The sequence below is a fragment of the Homo sapiens genome, chromosome 15 (genome assembly GCF_000001405.40).
Source record: "Homo sapiens chromosome 15, GRCh38.p14 Primary Assembly".
Classification (NCBI taxonomy): Eukaryota; Metazoa; Chordata; class Mammalia; order Primates; family Hominidae; genus Homo; species Homo sapiens.
Window position 1 is genome coordinate 52,881,220 of NC_000015.10, and position 17,971 is coordinate 52,899,190.

A 17,971-nucleotide genomic window follows, 5' to 3' on the forward strand; every position below is an offset into this window, starting at 1 on the left:
ATGGCTGTGAAATGTCACATTCATTTTTTGTTATCAAACTTACCCATTTTGGCCTTAAATTTGTGTAGGCAATGCAAGCCTAAGGAGAAGTTTAAGAATGCTTGTGTGGTGTGGTGAACACTCCAATTTGCCTTTAGTCATAACTTAAATGATAGTATATAAGTAATCCAGAGTCCCATGTAGGGGGCTGAAGAAACAAAGAATATGAAGTTTGTGCAAAACACAAACTAGAGCAGCAAGTTTAAGCTTTGGGAAGCCCCACTTAATCTTTTCCTTTGCTCTTATTTTTAATTCAGTTTCTTTTTTTAGCTGACTCCAGGCAGAATAGCAATAAAGACTCCTTGCCTACTGTGGTTCATCAGAGGTACCTAGTGTCACAAATTCTGTTTTCATCCTTATAACCCGATATCAAAGGGGCTCAAATACATTGGGCTGTTCCTGATAGAGATCTGAACTTCCAGAGGCCTCTCTGAACTAAATCTATGACCCTCGTGTGACAGGGCCATTGTTACTTGTGGAACACAATCTTTCTGATCCTATGTGAGGGAGCATGTTCCTTGCAGAAAGCAGGTAGGAGTCAAACCTTTTGTGTGCTCTTGCCCTCCATGAAAATCAAATCCTTGTGGCTACTTGAGCTTCTAAACTTCAGGCTTCATGAAGACAAATCACTTGATGAAAGTGAATTCTTATGCGGATCTTTGGAAAGTATCTTTAGAAAGCTGGAAAAAGTTTTCGAATTCCTACAAATATGATTTAATTTTCTAAACTTTATATTTCACTTGCACAGTCAAGTCCTTTGTCCAGTCCTTGGACTAACTAAGGTCCGAATTTATACCAACTTTCTCTTTGGCCTTGTGCCTGGCAGTAGGTACTGTGTGTTTGTTGAATGAGTGTGTGTTTGTTGAATGAATGAATGAAACCTGAAGTCTGAACAGAGGTTAAACTCATGGGTTTGCTAATAACACTTCCATTTACTTTCCATGAGTGATTGTAGATTTTAAAAATGTTGAAAAATGCAAGTGCTAAGAAGTTTTGGGAGTGTATAGATTTAGGTCCTTGTCTTGCAACTAACTCCCATTGTAAACTTGGACAAGTCATTTCACTTCTAAGGGCCTCAACTTTTGTATCTGTAAAATGAGGCCCGCAAAGTGTTAGTGGGTAGGGTGATTATCCAGGTGTCCTTTATCCGAGGTTAGCACCTTGTCTTTCTAGCTTGCTGCATCCCAGTATATCTCCACATGGCCAGAGAGCAGCGTTCTCTTAGGCCTAGCCTTCTACGATTCAAGGACCAATTACTTAGCATCCAGACTCTGTGCAAAAGTAGCAAGAACAAGTGTTCTCAGTGTAGGCATTTGGGTAGGTGTCAGCACTGCTGTGGATTTTATGTGTTTAAGCTGGACTCAGAAGATCCGCTGGAATTCTCTTCTCTTGGTGATCTCAGGGAGGGGGGCTTTTGGGAGTATACGTCGGTTCAAGCATTGGTTAAATATGCAAGCATGACTGATTTTGGACTTCATTATTTCATATTTAGTTTTCATTCTTGCTATTGTATATTTAACTGACTAACCCTTTTACTTGGATCTACAGATTTTCCCCCACAGAAAAACAAAATAAAAAGTATGTGGTCTTCTTTGGTGTTTATTGTCTTAGCAAATGCTACCACTATTCACCCAGAAGGCTACGCCAAAACTCCAGGAGTCATCTTTGACCTTACCCTAAATTCATCACCAAGTCCTCCTCAGTGTAGCCTTTTATATATTTCTGATTTCTCTCTGCTTCTTTCAGGCTCCAAAGTTGCCTCACTAGTCTGAGTCACCATGACTTTTTCCCTAAGCACTATAGTAGCTTCCTAACTGGTCCTCTCCTCTCCACCCTTGTCCTTACTGGTCACTGATACATTTTTGCCATAGGAGATTCAGTTGACGTGTCTTCCAGTTTGGAAATTAATCACATCTCCCATCCTGCTTGATCCTTTGTATGGTCAACCATGGCATTTTGGACAATGACCACAATTCTTAACATCTTCTAAAAGCCTTAAGTGGTGTGGCCCTTGCCTGTCAACACTGTGAGCTCCATGCTTGGTCCTCACGGATCTTCTCTGATGCTCATCTTTTCTTCTTGAGGAGAGAGAGCACTCCCATCTTTGCCCATGTCTCAGCCCAAGTTCTCTCTCTTCAGGGAAGCCTTGCCTGATTCCCCTCAATCTAAATATGTCCCCATGACCTAAGCTTTCATAGGCACATGGGCTTTTCTTCTGAAGAACAGAAGATGAAGAAACTGAGACTTAGAGGATTTAGTTAATGTGTCCAAAGTTAAACAGCTAATAAACAGTGAACCTGAGATCCAAGGTCCCAAGACCAATAATGACAGATCCAGGATTCAGAACTGTATTTGATTCTAAACTCTCTGCTGCTGACTACTATGCCAGAGATGGGAAATAGGTTTTTACCTCACATGGTAATTTTGATGAGCAGTGCTGCCTATAGTGACATGATGAAAAGGATTTCTGAGGTTGCATCCTTGCTCAGTGGAAAAGTATACCATGTTTAATTAGTGATGCCTGTCGCAGGTGAAGGACTGGAGAAGGAAGGTAGACCAGGCAGGTAATTGGCCCATGCAAATGCTATAATGCACAATGTTATAGTGCCCATTTGATTAAAAAAAATCAAGAACAGAACCTCCTTATAGGTCAGAAGCATGAGGAGCAGAACCCAGGACCCCTTAAGAAGGGATGGAGAGCCTGACCATTGGGCTCTTGAAGGATGCTATGTCAAGCAGTTGTGAAAATCACTCCCCATCATCTTTTTTTTTTTTTTTTTTTCCAGACGGAGTCTCGCTCTATACCCCAGGCCTGGAGTGCAATGGCGCAATGTCAGCTCACTGCAACCTCTGCCTCCCGGGTTCAAGTGATTCTCCTGCCTCAGCCTCCCAAGTAGCTGGGATTACAGGTGCCCATCACCACTCCCAGCTAATTTTTGTATTTTTTTAGTAGAGACAGGGTTTCGCCATGTTGGCCAGGGCGGTCTCAAACTCCTGACCTCAGGTGATCCGCCAGCCTCAGCCTCCCAAAGTGCTGGGATTACAGACATAAGCCACTGCACCTGGCCTCCCCATCTCTTTATAGGCCTCTTTACCTCCCTGCTATGAAGAAAGCTTTGATCGACATGTCAATGTGTACTCTTGTAGCAGGAAGCCAGGACTGGCAGAAGCAGATGGTAGAGATAGGAGTTCAGTCCAAACTTTCTCAAGTTCACACCCCCATGATGCCTTTTAACATAGTATATTGGAAAACTCAACTTACTTTCTGCAAAAAGATTCCAGGAAGGTGTGAAGGTGGAGGTTGGTGTGGGGTGAGGATTTTTCTCTCACATGTCAGGATCAGATGTCCAGCTTCTAGCCATGTTCTGAAGTCCACGTGGCTAACATCTCTTTGAAGATCTGGGGTTTGTCTTATACACCTCTGAAGCTGCCCTGTAGTACCCAACACAGGGCTTCACCCATTAGTTCATGGTGGTTGAATCCATTTTACTTGTGGAAGGTCCCAACTTTCCCAAGGCAAAAGGCATTGCCTTATTCTCCATCTAATGAGTTCTTTTCTGTGTCCTTGTCTGGGCACATGGTCTGGCACTGGGTTATTGTGCTGAAGGTTTAAGCAGCTTTCTTGCTACGGCAACATAGAGTTTACTTTCATCTTGGGCAGGAGAGTGCACCAGGCTTATACAAGCATACCAGCTTACCTCAACTCTCAGAAGGCATATGCAATTGGATCTATTTCCCTTCCTGTGGTCCTTGTCTCCTGATTTCCAGAAGAAAGGGACAGAGGCTGTAGCATTTCAGTATTCTGGTTTATGGTTCTGGATTCTGGGTTTCTAGTTGAGGATTCTAGCTGGTGAGTGTTTGAGTTCTTGCCTGTGACTCTTTAAATCCCTTTTGCTTCCACACTGGCATGCTGACTTCTAGTCAATATCCAGGGCAGATATTTTGATTCCATTCCAAATCTGTTTCTCCCTTAGTTTTCCTTTCTTAGTATTATCAGATCAAAAATCTGTTTTTCCTTCAAATTTCCATCAACATCTAGTCCATCAACAAACCTGTCAGTTCTACCTTCAAAACATTCTCCAATTCTGCTCCTGTCTCCCCTACCCCAACCACTGCCATCTCAGTGCTGGATTCCTTGATTTCCTAACTAGACTAACAGTAGCTTCCTCACTTATTTCTCTACTTCTACCTTCAACTGTCTCTATTTCACTTTCATACAGCTTCCAGAATGATCTTTATTAAAAAATACTTAATTTTGCCTTTCTGCACTACTCACAGAGGGGTCAAAATGGCATTGTTCTGGATTCCTGTCGTAACTTAAAGGGAAACTTTCACAATGTCTGGAGCCCTTGATGCCCTGCAAATGAAGGAGGAGGATGTCCTTGCAGCAGGAACCAACTTAGGTGGCACCAATCTTGACTTCCAGATGGAATGGTACATCTGTAAAAGGAAAAGTGATGGCATCCACATCATAAATCTGAAGAGGACCTGGGAGAAGCTTCTGCTGTCAGCTCGTGCCATTGTTGCCATTGAAAACCCTGCTGATGTCAGTGTCATATCCTCCAGGAATACTGGCCAGAGGGCCATGCTGAAGTTTGTTGCTGCCACAGGAGACACTCCAATTGCTGGCTGCTTCACTCCTGGAACTTTCACTAACCAGATCCAGGCAACCTTCTGGGAGCCACGGGTTCTTGTGGTTACTGATCCCAGGGCTGACCACCAGCCTCTCATGGAGGCATCTTATGTTAACCTACCTACCATTGCTCTGTGTAACACAGATTCTCCTTTGCGCTATGTGGACATTGCCATCCCATGCAACAACAAGGGAGCTCACTCAGTGGGTTTGATGTGGTGGATGCTGGCTTGCAAAGTTCTGCACATGTGTGGCACCATTTCCTGTGAACACCTGTGGGAGGTAATGCCTGATCTCTACTTCTACAGAGATCCTGAAGAGACTGAAAAAGAAAAGCAGGCTGCTGTTGAAAAGGCTGTGACCAAGGAGGAATTTCAGGGTGAATGGACTGCTCTAGCTCCTGAGTTCACTGCTACTCAGCCTAAGGTTGCAGGCTGGTCTGAAGGAGTGCAGGCACCCTCTGTGCCTATTCAGAGGTTCCCTACGGAAGACTGGAGTGCTCAGCCTGCCACGGAAGACTGGTCTGCAGCTCCCACTGCTCAGGCCACTGAATGGGTAGGAGCAACCACTGAATGGTCTTAAGCTGTTCTTGCACGGGCTCTTAAGCAACATGGAAATAAGGTTGATGGAAAATAAACATCAGTTTCTAAACAAAAATACTTAATTTTTAGAGAAGTTTTAGGTTCACAGCAAAATTGAGTTAAAGATACTGAAATGTTTCCATTTTACACCCCTCTCGCTTCCCATGCACAGCCTCTACCATTATAAACCTCTTTCACCAGAGCGGTACATTTGTTACAATTGCTTAACATACACTGATGCATTATAATTACCCAAAATCTATAGTTTAAATTAGAGCTCACTCTTGGTGTTGAACATTCTCTGGGCTTTGGCAAATGAATAATGTGATGTGTCCACCACTACCGTGTAATACAGAATTGTTTCACTGCCCTACAAATCTTTTGTGCCCTGCCTACTCATCTCTCCCTCCCCACAATCCCTGGCAACCACTGATCTTATTACTGTTACCATAGTTTTGCCTTTTACAGAATGTCATATGGTTGGAATCATACAACATGTAGCCTTCTCAGGTGGGCTTCTTTCTTTTAGTAATACACAATTAAGTTTCTTCTATGTCTTTTTTCTGGCTTGATAGCTCATTTCTTTTTAGTGCTGAATAATATTCCATCTATTGTCTAAATGTACCACGGTTTATTTATTCATTTACCTACTGAAAGACATCTTGGTTGCTTCCACATTTTGGCAATTATGAATAAAGCTGCTATAAACATATGTGTGCAGGTTTTTGTGTGAACATAGTTTTTCAACTCCTTTGAGTAAATCCTAAGGAATGTTATTGCTGGATCATATAATAAGAATGTGTTTAGTTTTCTAAACAACTGCAAAACTGTCTTTCAAAGTGGTCGTACCATTTTACATTCCCACTAGCAATGAATGAGAGTTTCTGATCGTTAAAAGATACAGAATGATCTTTTAAAAATGTAATACTAATGACTTAGAAATAAAGAGATCATAAAAGACTATTATGAGCAATAATACACCAACAAATTAGATAACTAGGAGAAATAGATACATTCCTAGAAACATACAACTGATCACAACTGAATCAAGAAGAAACAGAAAGTCTAATCAGAGCAGTGACAAATAAGAAGATTTACTCAGTAATGAAAAACTTTTTAATAAAGAAAAACCAGATAGCCTCACAGGTCAATTCTACCAAATATTTAAAGAAGAATTAATGCCAATTCTTTTTATTTTTTAATTTTTATTTATTTATTTAAGACTGGGTTTCACTCCGTCACCCAGGCTGAACTGCAGTGGCATGATCATACCTCACTGTAACCTCAAACTCCTGGGCTCAAGTGATCCTTCTGCCTCAGCCTCTCTAGTAGCTTGGATTACAGGTGTGAGCCACCACATTCAGCCACTAATACCAATAATTTGAAAATCCAAATAATAGAATAAAACATTCCAAATTCTTTTTATGAGGCTAGCATCACCCTGCTAGCAAAGCCAGACAAAGATGCCAGAAGAAAACTACAGGCCAATATACCCGATGAACATGGAAGCAAAAATCCTGAAAAATATTAGCATTTTCAACACAAGCAAATCAATTAATGCATATACCACATCAACAGAATGAAGAATAAAAATCACATTGTCTTCTCAATAGACGCAAAAGAAGCATCTGACAAAATTTAGCACCCTTTCATGATAAACACTATCAGCAAGTTAAGTATAAGACTGTACCTCAACATAAAAAGACCGTGTATGACAAGCCAATAGCTAACATACTCAATGATGAAAAACTGAAAGCTTTTCCTTTAAGATCAGGAACAAGACAAGGATGTCCGCTCTTGCCACTTATATGAGATATAGTACTAAAAGTTATAGCTGGAGCAATTAGACAAGAAAAGGAAATAAAAGGCATCCAAATCAGAGGAGAAGAAATAAAATTATCTTTGTTTGCAGATGGCATGATCTTATATGTAGAAAACCCTAAAGACTCCATAAAAAACTGGTAGAACTAATAAATAAATTCAGTAAAATTTCAGGGTAAAAAAAACAATATACAAAAATTATAGTATTTCTATACACTAACAATGAATTATCCAAAAAGAAATTTAAAAAGCAATCTTATTTACAAGCATAAAAATACTGAGAAATAAACATAACCAAGGAGATGAAAGAGTTGTATGAAGGAAACAATCAACAAAATAAAAAGGCAGCTTATGCAGTGGAAGAATATATTTGTAAAACATATATTTGCTAAAGAGTTAATATTCAAAATATATGAGAAATTCATACAACTCAATAGTGAAAACACAAATAATCTGATTCAAAAATCGGCAAAGGAACTGAATAGACATTTCTCCAAATAAGATATACAAATGATCAACAGGTGTATGAAAAGTTGCTCAACATCAGTAATCATCAGGGAAATGCAATAAAACCACATGAGATATCTACTTCACACCTGTTTTGCTGGCTATTATTAAAAAAAATCCAAAGGATAACAAATGTCATTAAGGATGTAGTGGAAGGGGAACACTTGTACACTGCTGGTGTCAATGTAAGTTGGTACAGCCACTATGGAAAACAGTATCCAGATTTCTCAAAAAATTCAAAATCAGAACTGCCACACGAACCTGCAATCCAACTTTTGGATATATATTCAAAGGAATTGAAATCAGGATCTTGGAAAGCTATCTGCACTCCCATGCTTATTGCAGCATTATTCACAATAGCCAAGATATGAAAACTACTTAAATGTCCATTTTTAGATAAATGGATAAAGAAAATGGTATATACATGCAATAGAATATTATTGAGACGTCAAGAAGAAGGAAACCCCACCATTTGTGACAACATAGATAAACTTGGAGGACATTATGCTAAATGAAATAAACCAAACACAGAAGGGCAAATACTTTATGATCTCACTTATATGATGAATTAAAAATAGCCAAACTCATAGAAGCAGAGCTTGGAATGGTGATTGCCAGAGGCTAGGGGGAGGAGGAAATGAAGAAGTATTAGTCAAAGGGTACAAAGTTTGGTTATACAAGATAAACGTGTCCAAGAGATCTACTGTGTAACATAGTGCATAAAGTTAGTAAGTACTGTATACTTAAAAATTTGCTTCTACCTTCTGGTAGATCTTATGTTAAATGTTCTCATCACAAAGAAATCCTAATAAATAAAGAGGGCAGAAGGAAACTTTTGGAGGTGACGGATAGATTTACAGAAGAGATTTTGGTGGTAGTTTCAGGCGTATATAATTATCTCCAAACTGATCAGGCTATATATATTAAGTATGTACAGATTTTGATATGACAATCATTTTAATCAAGTGGTTTTAAAAAAGTAATACAGTCATGTCACTCTTGTATGTAAGATTCTGCAAACGGCTTCCTATCACACTTAGTATGAAATGAAGTCTATCATATGACCCTAAAAATATGGACTTTTCTATGTCTTTAAACTCTCTTACACCCTCATTCACTACACTCCAATGACACCAGTCTTCTGTCAGTCACTTAAGCGCGCTAAATTCATTCTTGCCTCAGGACTTTTGCACTTGCTACTCCCTCTTCCTGATGTCTGATGTAAAATAACATGCCAACCCCACCATCTCTTTACTCTTTCTTATTGTTCCTCATGGCACTCACCTCTACTTGAAATGACAGCATATACTAACCTGTTTACTTTCTTTCTTATTAGAATGCAAACTCCACAAGGGTAGAGACTGACAATTTCCCCAGGGTCTAGTATGGTGCTGGCATACAATATTTATTGAGTTCATAAGTGGATGGTTTTGCAACCCACATATCATTTTCCTCCTGGAGGGTAATTTGCTCATCTAGGAAATGAGAGGTTGAACTGGATGACATCTCAGGACCTGTTTGGTTCTGAAAACTCTGGGAGCATATGAGGAACTGGCAATTTGTTTTATTTTTTAATTTAACGTTTAAGTTCAGGGCTACAAGAGCAGGTTTGTTATGCAGGTAAACTTTTGTCATGGGGATTTGTTGTACAGATTATTTTGTCACCCTGGTATTAAGCGTAGTGCCTATTAATTATTTTTTCTGATCAATTTGATAGTGAACAAAAGGAGCCTAACTGCATTATGAGAACAGAAAGAATATTTTAATAACCATTCCCCCTTTCTCCCTGTATAATGGCTTTTTCTTTATTAATTTGATTAAAATGTCTTTAAAGTCCAATTGTGTTTCCAGCACGGGGATAAGAAAAACTCTGAGACTAAAAGCAGAGTTTAAGTACTGATGCTGAAGTGATGCAGAATTAAGAAAAGACAGTTGTGAACTGGAATTAGTCTGGAGAGTTTTACAAAGGAGTCAGGTCAACTTTGGGTCTTGAAGGCAGGGTAGGTTTTACATTTGATCTGAGAGTAGGTAAATAGCCATTAATGGTTCTTAAGAAGGGAGTGGTGTGCTAGAAATATAGTATCTGGGAAATTATCTGTAGATGCCCTACCAGAATTGAGATCCTTGACCAGACTTCGAACTACTTAGGGTATAGAGATGTGCTTTTTACACTTTGCATTGAAGCATAGTTTCTAGCATATAGTAGGTCCTAAAAGATTATTCACTGGATGAGATTGGGGAGGATGTTGAATCTGGAAGGGTTATGAGGTAGAAACCCAATGAGGATTGCTTGTTTCACTGGCTTCCACATATTGCCATGCCATGCTGTGATGTGGACAGCTCCAGGATCCTCATTGGCTGGGGAGGATGCTGGAGGTGAGATGGGTCCACATTTCAAATCCTGTAGTTGCAGCTTAGACTGGAATGCAGAGCACCCTGCATTCTTTGAGGGCTTGATGTGATGGAACATGGCCTTGAAGCCAACAGACATGCCCAGCACACAAACTTACTCACATGTTAACCCCCTATCCCGAGTTCATAATTACAACATAATTCAATCTGAAGTTTTCTCCCATAAGGAATTAGTATTCTATTTAGTAGCCACCCAGATTCTAAACAGTGAAAGCTAAACATCAAGAGCTTGATTGAATGACCCACCTGGAATTGTTTATACTTCATTAATGCTTTTCATAAATCATGAGTTTGACAGGTTACTGGCATGGACTTTCCAAATCTCATAATTGTGTTTTGTTTTTCCCTTGCTTCATCAGTTTCCTTTCACAGGCTGACAGCTTAGAAAATGTTACTAGAACTACCAGCTACTGCAGTGACCACTTCTGGTGTGAGCACCTACTGTATTCCCAGAACAGCTGTAGAGGTCTGAGGCTTGGACTGTATGTAGTCTCGGCTTGGCCATATATTAGCTGGGAGTCCTAGGCAGATCTCTGCCATCAGATCTGTAAAAAAAAAAAAAAAAAAAAAAGATAAAATATGTGATGGTAGTTATTTCATAAGACTGTTAAGAATGACATGAGATAATGTAGGTAAAGAATCTGGTGCACTGTCATGCGGTAAGTGCTGAATAAAGCTAGTGATTGTAGTTCTTCTATTGGTAAACCTCAAGAAGATGAGCATCCAGAGGCTGAAGTGATTGCAAATGACCAGCACCTAAATTATAGGAGGACAGCTATTATCTTTAAGTCTGTCTATAATAGGTGAGTTTGAGAAAATAAGATCGTGCATCAATCTAGATCATTATCTGGATTCTTTATCTGACTCGATCATGAAGCCAACCCAAGATTATGGGCTTTAATGGAGGTGTGTAGAGCAGTGGTATTTCCTACCACTAGATTATAATCTCTATAAAAGGTTTATTTTTGCATTCTCAGAACCTAGAATAGTGGCACTCAACACATCAACAGGCTTTTAATAACTCTTTGTTTAAAGGATGAATGGATAGAGAAACAAGGCAAAAGAGAAGGTAATTCCATCATTTATATAATGCTTTTCTATACATATAAGATATAAATATATACTTTACTATATATATATATTTATATACTTATCTATATATGCATATATTTTCTGATTATAAAAGTAACATATACTTTTTGTAAAAAATTAAATGATACCAAAATATATAAAGAAAAAAAAGTCCCTGGAATTCCACCTTCAGAGTTAACTATTGTTATTGAGTTTGGTATCTGTTTTTCTTGATTTAAAAATTGTCTATGCTAATGTATAGGCACTTAACAAAAATGGGCTCATACTCGTTTTTAAATTTAGCTGTATCTTAAGGCCCTTTGTCATCTCACTTCATGTAGATCTACATTTCTAAGGATTGCACAGTTTCTATCATGTGAGTTCATCATGCATTATCTATCCATTCTCCTCTTGATGGAATTTATATTTGTTATAACTTTTTTCACTACACTAATATAATATTTCAAGAAATGTTCATGTACATATATTTGCCTTCTTGGGAAAATAGTTCTATTGGAAAAATCCCTAATAGTGGAATTGCTAAATGAAAAAAATGTGCACATTAAAAATTTCGATGTTATGCTTTGCTTTTACAACTTCTTTGGAATTTGAAAACATTGTTTGTGCCAGCCCTGCAGTGCCCCTACACAGACAACACGATTAGCTCTTTACTTTAGTGCTCTTTCATTTAAACAATAAAAAATGGTACTGAAGGTGGGTTCATGAGATGTTTGTGGATTGCAACTGAAGGTAGTTCTTTTATCTGGCAGCTCAATCTCTCTGACAAAGTAGACAGCTTTATGGGGTGGATACATATGGAGGCATGAGGAAGGAAGAGATGCCCACTTAGGCATCAAAATAAATAAATAAACAAGATGATGAATGAAAGAGCAAATATTTCCCCTATGTGCTCAGCCAAGATGTGGTGACAGGTTTGGACAGCGTGCCAGTATCAGAGTTGGGAAATGGAAAAAGCACGCTCCATTTGTGGGGCAATATCATTATGAATGGAGCCATATCCCCCTCAGCATCCTTTTCCTATGTGCCCCTAACCCTCAGCCCAAGATTGTAAAGTTTTATGTCTGGGAGGATAAACACTTCTGCAAAATAATTACAAAACTGAACAATGGAGACTTCCTTAGTGCAGCGGAGATGGAGGAAGGGCTGGAATCGGGATGGCTTTGTGGTGCTGGCAGGGATTTTCAGGGTGATTTAGTGTGGATTGATCTGCAGTTTATTCTGCAGCCATTGTTTGTAATGTGCTTTACCAGCTCATGTACCCTGAGCCTTAATTGTTCTAAATTAAACTATAGGGACCAGACAGCACACATTTCAATCAGAACGACAAAATATTGCACCAAATCCCACAGGGATACATCAGCCCCTGCTAGGATGGGCTTGTACTCAAGGGAAGAGGGAAAAAAGTGCTCAGGAGAGCATTGGATAAAATTGAATAGGTTCTGTTCTATTTGTATACAAGATAAAACCCAATTGTGCTACCTCAATCTGTGTGTATGTGTATTTGAATAATCAAAGACAATACAATTGTTTGCAATGTGATATTTATCTAAATATTAAGGAAATGTAACCCTGAGTTGAATTGCTCTGTATTTTGTTCATTAGCCTTGAGTTTTACAAATAAGTTGAAATGATACCTGACTTGGGCAATGTTCTGATTTGGCTGGAAAAGCTGCAGGGAATTCTCATGGCTTGTTTAAATACACAGAAGCCCAGTTTCTTCTGGTAAGAGGTTGCTCATTAAAAAAAATTATTCCTTGTCAGGATTTACTATTTTAAGTCAATATGGAGCCTGGGAAATGACCCAAAGCCTGGACAAACAATATAGGCCATGGCATTTCTTATTGACTGTAAGAGAGTGACATAATTTTTCACTTTATCCTCTTCTCAAAATGTCAAAAGAATCATAACTTTTTACATATTACATTCTGTCTCAATTCTGTCTCAATAGCACACACGCAAATATCCAAATGTATATCTAGGCAGCTATACATAGCCAGGAGGGGACCCAAATCAAGAAGTTAAGAGAAAAGAGATTGTGTAAGATCTGAGGAGAACACAAAAATGAATCCAAGCCACTTCTGGGTCACAGAAGTAGCTAATTCTACTCCCCCTATACCCTGCAAACCCAAAGATAACCACTATTAATTTTCCACAGCCTTCCTCTAGCATGTATGTGTTTTATGTAAATGGGATTATACTTTGCATGTTGTCTTGTTCCTTGCTTTTAAGACTTAACAGCATCATTTTCCAACTTAACATACCCATAAGCCCCTTTTCCAGAAGTAACTCTGATGTATTCTTTCTAATAGTTATGTAATATTCCACTCAGTGGATGGCTGATAATTGATATTGCCCTCTATTGATGAGCATTTGGGTTATTTATAACTTTTACTACTATAATTGTTTTATAATTTTATAAACGTTTATTTACAGGATAAATTCTAGCAGTGGTATTAACTGTCAAAAGATGATCACAACATTACATTTCATTCCCCCATCCAGTTATGCTTGTACTACTTATTAAATATACTCTACTTTTTCCACTGGGGGTGAAAAAAAAAGATGCTCACAATTATTATGCTAGATATTTTCAAATAAGTGTACACCAATTTATACATGCCTGGTAAAAATACATGAGAGTTCTTTTTTGCCCACAAAGTCACGTAATTGGAAAAACGGATGCATTTAGGGTGAAATGGAGACTTAAATATCTATATTTACTTTAATATCTTTCTTAGTCATACCTAACCACTGTAATCACTGGTCCTTCCTCTATCATCTATGACCTTCTGTCTTAGGTTTGCCTCAAGCTAATGTCTTCATTACTTTTAAGACTGTATTTTTATATTACCAATAATGGTATCCTCTAAGGTGTTGGACTTAGCTAGTTTCCCTTTGCAGTGTGACCCAGAAGTGGCTTGGATTCATTTTTGGGTTCTCCCCAGATCTTACACCGTCTCTTTTCTCTTAAGTTCTTGATTCGGGTCCCCTCCTGGCTATGTATAGCTCCCTAGGTGAAATCTGTGCCATCCCCTGGAATTCAAGTTGCCATTCACATATCTTCCCACATATCTAAGGGCATTTTGTTCTGTTGATCAACTTCTAATTTTCTTCAGCAAGCACTGATTAATAGCCTATTATGTGCTAGGCACAGTATCCCTGTCTGTGGAGGATCATACACCATTTGGGGATACAAACCTGCAAATATTCCTGTGGATGCAGGAAAAGAGAGAGGCGTTTGCAAGATCTTTTGGGACAAGAAAAGGAAAAATACTTAACTGTGCTCAACCAGGCCAGGGAAGCCTCTCAAAGGAGGTAACAACTGAACTAAGGCTTAACGGGTTACAATGTGTTTATACTCAGTGATTTCACTTCAGTTACATCCTAAAAAAAAGTCTTGAACATGCACACAATAAGACAAGTACACGAATGTTCATTACAGCATTTTTTATAATGTAAAATTTCTCAATATTGACAATAGGAAAATGGATAAATGGGGTATAGTCAGATTACAGAGTCATAATTAGCCCTTAAAATAAATGAACCAGATGTATATGTATCAATATAGATAAATCCTGAAAACATCATGTTAAGTGAAAAACCACACTGCAGAAGAATAAACACAGTATAACATATGCCTTTATATAAACAGAAAATAACACCATGGGTTTGGGAATCTATGCATGCAGAATAAAAGAAAGAAGTTGCTGATAGCAAGAATAAACCCCAGCGTCAGGATAGTGATAATCTGGGGTGAGAGAGGCTGAAGGAGAATGGAATTAGGGAGGAGGAAAAAGAGGTTCTTAATAGTTCCTGTAATGTTTTATTTCCCTAAAAATGATGAAATAAAATATGGCAAAATATTCACATTCATTAGATATGAGTGGTGGGTACATTGCTGTACTTCAAACATACAGAGAATAATACCATTTATTATTCTCTATGCTTGAAGGATTTAACGAAAAATGAACGGGAGTTCTTTAGGTGGATAAACCTGGGTCCTATGTATTTGTTTGAGGGGGCAGTGTGTGGCATTGTGTATTAATTTGAGCAGCACCCTGGGAAAGTTTTTAAATGTGGAGAGAGGGAACATCTCTTTGGGTGACATTCAGTGGCTTTAAGCTTTGTCTTAGGGATTCTGAGCTAGTACAGGGTCTTCACTGCTAGAGTGGGAGGAGAGCATTTAGCAGGTTAAATGTGACTGTATTTGTTCGCATATTCATGTTCAAAGACACCCTTTGAGCAAATATTCTGGGCCTGAAAAAGAGTTTGAAAACATGTGATTTATGCAACCCCTTGCCTAGGGTGGTTGTTTTCATCTTTCATCTTTTTACTTTGCAGAAATAGACTCCACTAAGGCCACCAAGGGTAGGCTTGCACTGGAGGGAATGGTCGCCTCTCTTGCCTTCCTTCTGATCTCTTTCCAGCTTTGACAACTTCTGTTCTCTCTGCATATTCTTTGGTCTCTGAGGTCTCATCTCAAAGTGTCATCAGTGTCTCTGATTTTCACAATTGTAGGATTCCTTTACTTTGCACTCTGGACTCAGCTTGCTTTCCTTTATAGCGGGAAACACAGAATCACCCTCCGCTTCTTGCCATCCTTTCTCTAGAGCTGTCTGCCTCTGTCTGTTTTCTCTGATCTGCAGACTGATCACCTTGCCTCTGGCCTTTCCCTTTACAAACACTCTTGGAAAATAGTTTTCCTCTGGTACCTTTTTCAGCACATGACCACCATCCCAAAACTGAACAATTAAAATACACCCTTAAAATACAATTTCTTTTAAAACATTACCTTTACTAGACCTACTTGTCTACATAATTTCTCCTTCTTTCCTTGATCCTTCATTTCATTCCTTCTCTCAACAACCTTGCTGCCTCCTTTATCTAATATCCAGTAATCTGGCCCATTCAACAGGCAGGTTTTTGCATAGTGTTGACTAAGCCTTCTGTATCTATTGAGGCTGCTAAGCTATACTCCAATATTTGTTACATAATATCCCTACATACAGAAGATATTGAATTAGCAATTTAATTAAATTATCATTTGCAGTTGGCCATTGTACCATTGTGTGCCTTTTGTCCATGTAAATGCAGTCTATTGAAATTGTAATCTTTTTAGTGCGGAAATAGTGGCAGACATGTTTTCACAGTGCCATTTGCTTGTGGGGCTTTAATGAATAGTCCCAAATCGTGGAAATAAGTGTTGTATGTGAAATTTGTAGACCAGCAAAGTTTCACTGCTCTCAGTGAATCCTAAGAATCAGCAAACTCTAGGACAAATTTCTTTTTTAAAAACATTTTTAAAATTTTTATTTTTTGTGGGTATATAATAGGTATATATATTTATGGGGTACATGAGATATTTTGATAAAGGCATATAATGTGTAACAGTCACTTCAGGGTAAATGGGTTATGCATCACCTCAAGGAATTATCCTTTGTGTTATAAAAAGATCTGATTATACTCATTTAGTTATTTAAAAATGTACAATTAAATTACTATCGACTATAGTCACCCTGTTGTGCCATTAAATGCTATATCTTACTCATTTTTTCTAACTATTTTTGTACTGATTAACCATTCCCACTTCTCCACCCACTGTCCCCCCACCCCCAGCACTAGCCTTCCCAGTCTCTGGTAACCATCATTCTACTCTCTATCTCCATGAATTTAATTGTTTTAATTTTTGGCTCCTGCAAATAAGTGAGAACATGAGAAGTTTGTCTTTCTGTGCTTGGCTTATTTCACATATCATAATGACTTCCAGTTCTATCCATGTGTTGCAAATGACAGAATCTTATTCTCTTTTATGGTTGAATAGTACTTCATTGTATATCTGTACCATGCTTTTTAAATCTATTCGTCTGTTGATGGACACTTAGGTGGCTTCCAAATCTCGGGTATTGTGAATAGTGCTACAATAAACATGGGAGTGCAGCTATCTCTTTGATGTACTGATTTCCTTTCTGTTGGGTATATACCTAGCAGTGGGATTGCTGAATCATATGGTAGCTCTGTTTTTAGTCTTTTGAGGAACCTCTGAATTGTTCTCCACGGTGGTTGTTCTAATTTACTTTCCCACCAACAGTGTATGAAGGTTTCCTTTTCTCCATATTCTTGCCAGCATTTGTTATCACCTGTCTTTCGGGTAAAAGCCATTTTAACAAGGGTGAGAAGATATCTCATTGTAGTTTTGGCTTGCATTTCTCTGATGATCAATAATGTAGAGCATCTTTTCATGTACCTATTTACCATTTGTATATCTTCTTTTGAGAAATGTCTATTCAGATTTTTGCTCATTTAAAAATCAAATTATTAGATTTTTTCCTATAGAGCTATTTGAACTCCTTACATATTCTAGGTTATTAATCCCTTGTTAGTTTGAAAATATTTTCTCCTGTGCTGAGGGTCGTCTTTTTACTTTTTTGATTGTTTCCTTTAGTGTGCAGAAGGTATTTAACTTGATGTGATCCCATTTGTTTATTTTTGCTTTGGTTGTCTGTACCTGTGGGGAATACCCACATTCTCAAGAAATCTTTGCCTAGTCCAATGTCCTGGAGAGCCTCCTCAATGTTTTCTTGTAGTAGTTTCATTGTTTGAGGATTTAGACTTAAGCCTTTAATCCATTTTGATTTGACTTTTGTATATGACAAGACAGGAGTCTAGTTTCATTCTTCTGCATATAGATATCTATTCATAGTTTTCCCAGGACCATTTGTTGAAGAGGCCATCCTTTCCCCAATGTATGTTCTTCACATCTTTGTCAAAAATGAGTTCACTGTAATTGTATGGATTTGTTTCTGGGTTCTCTATGCTGTTCAGTTGGTCAATGTGTCTGTTTTTATGCCAATATCATGTTGTCTTGGTTACTATAGCTCTGTAATAT

The 17,971-nt window shown here is 38.3% G+C and overlaps 1 long non-coding RNA gene and 1 pseudogene across 6 annotated transcripts in view; both read left to right on the forward strand.

The window, feature by feature from the left end:
• LOC107983981 (uncharacterized) overlaps window positions 1-17,971 on the forward strand; it is a 417,903-nt gene that overhangs the window by 77,468 nt on the left and 322,464 nt on the right. The gene's annotated exons all lie outside the window — the stretch shown is intronic.
• RPSAP55 (ribosomal protein SA pseudogene 55) lies at window positions 4,300-5,323 on the forward strand (annotated as a pseudogene).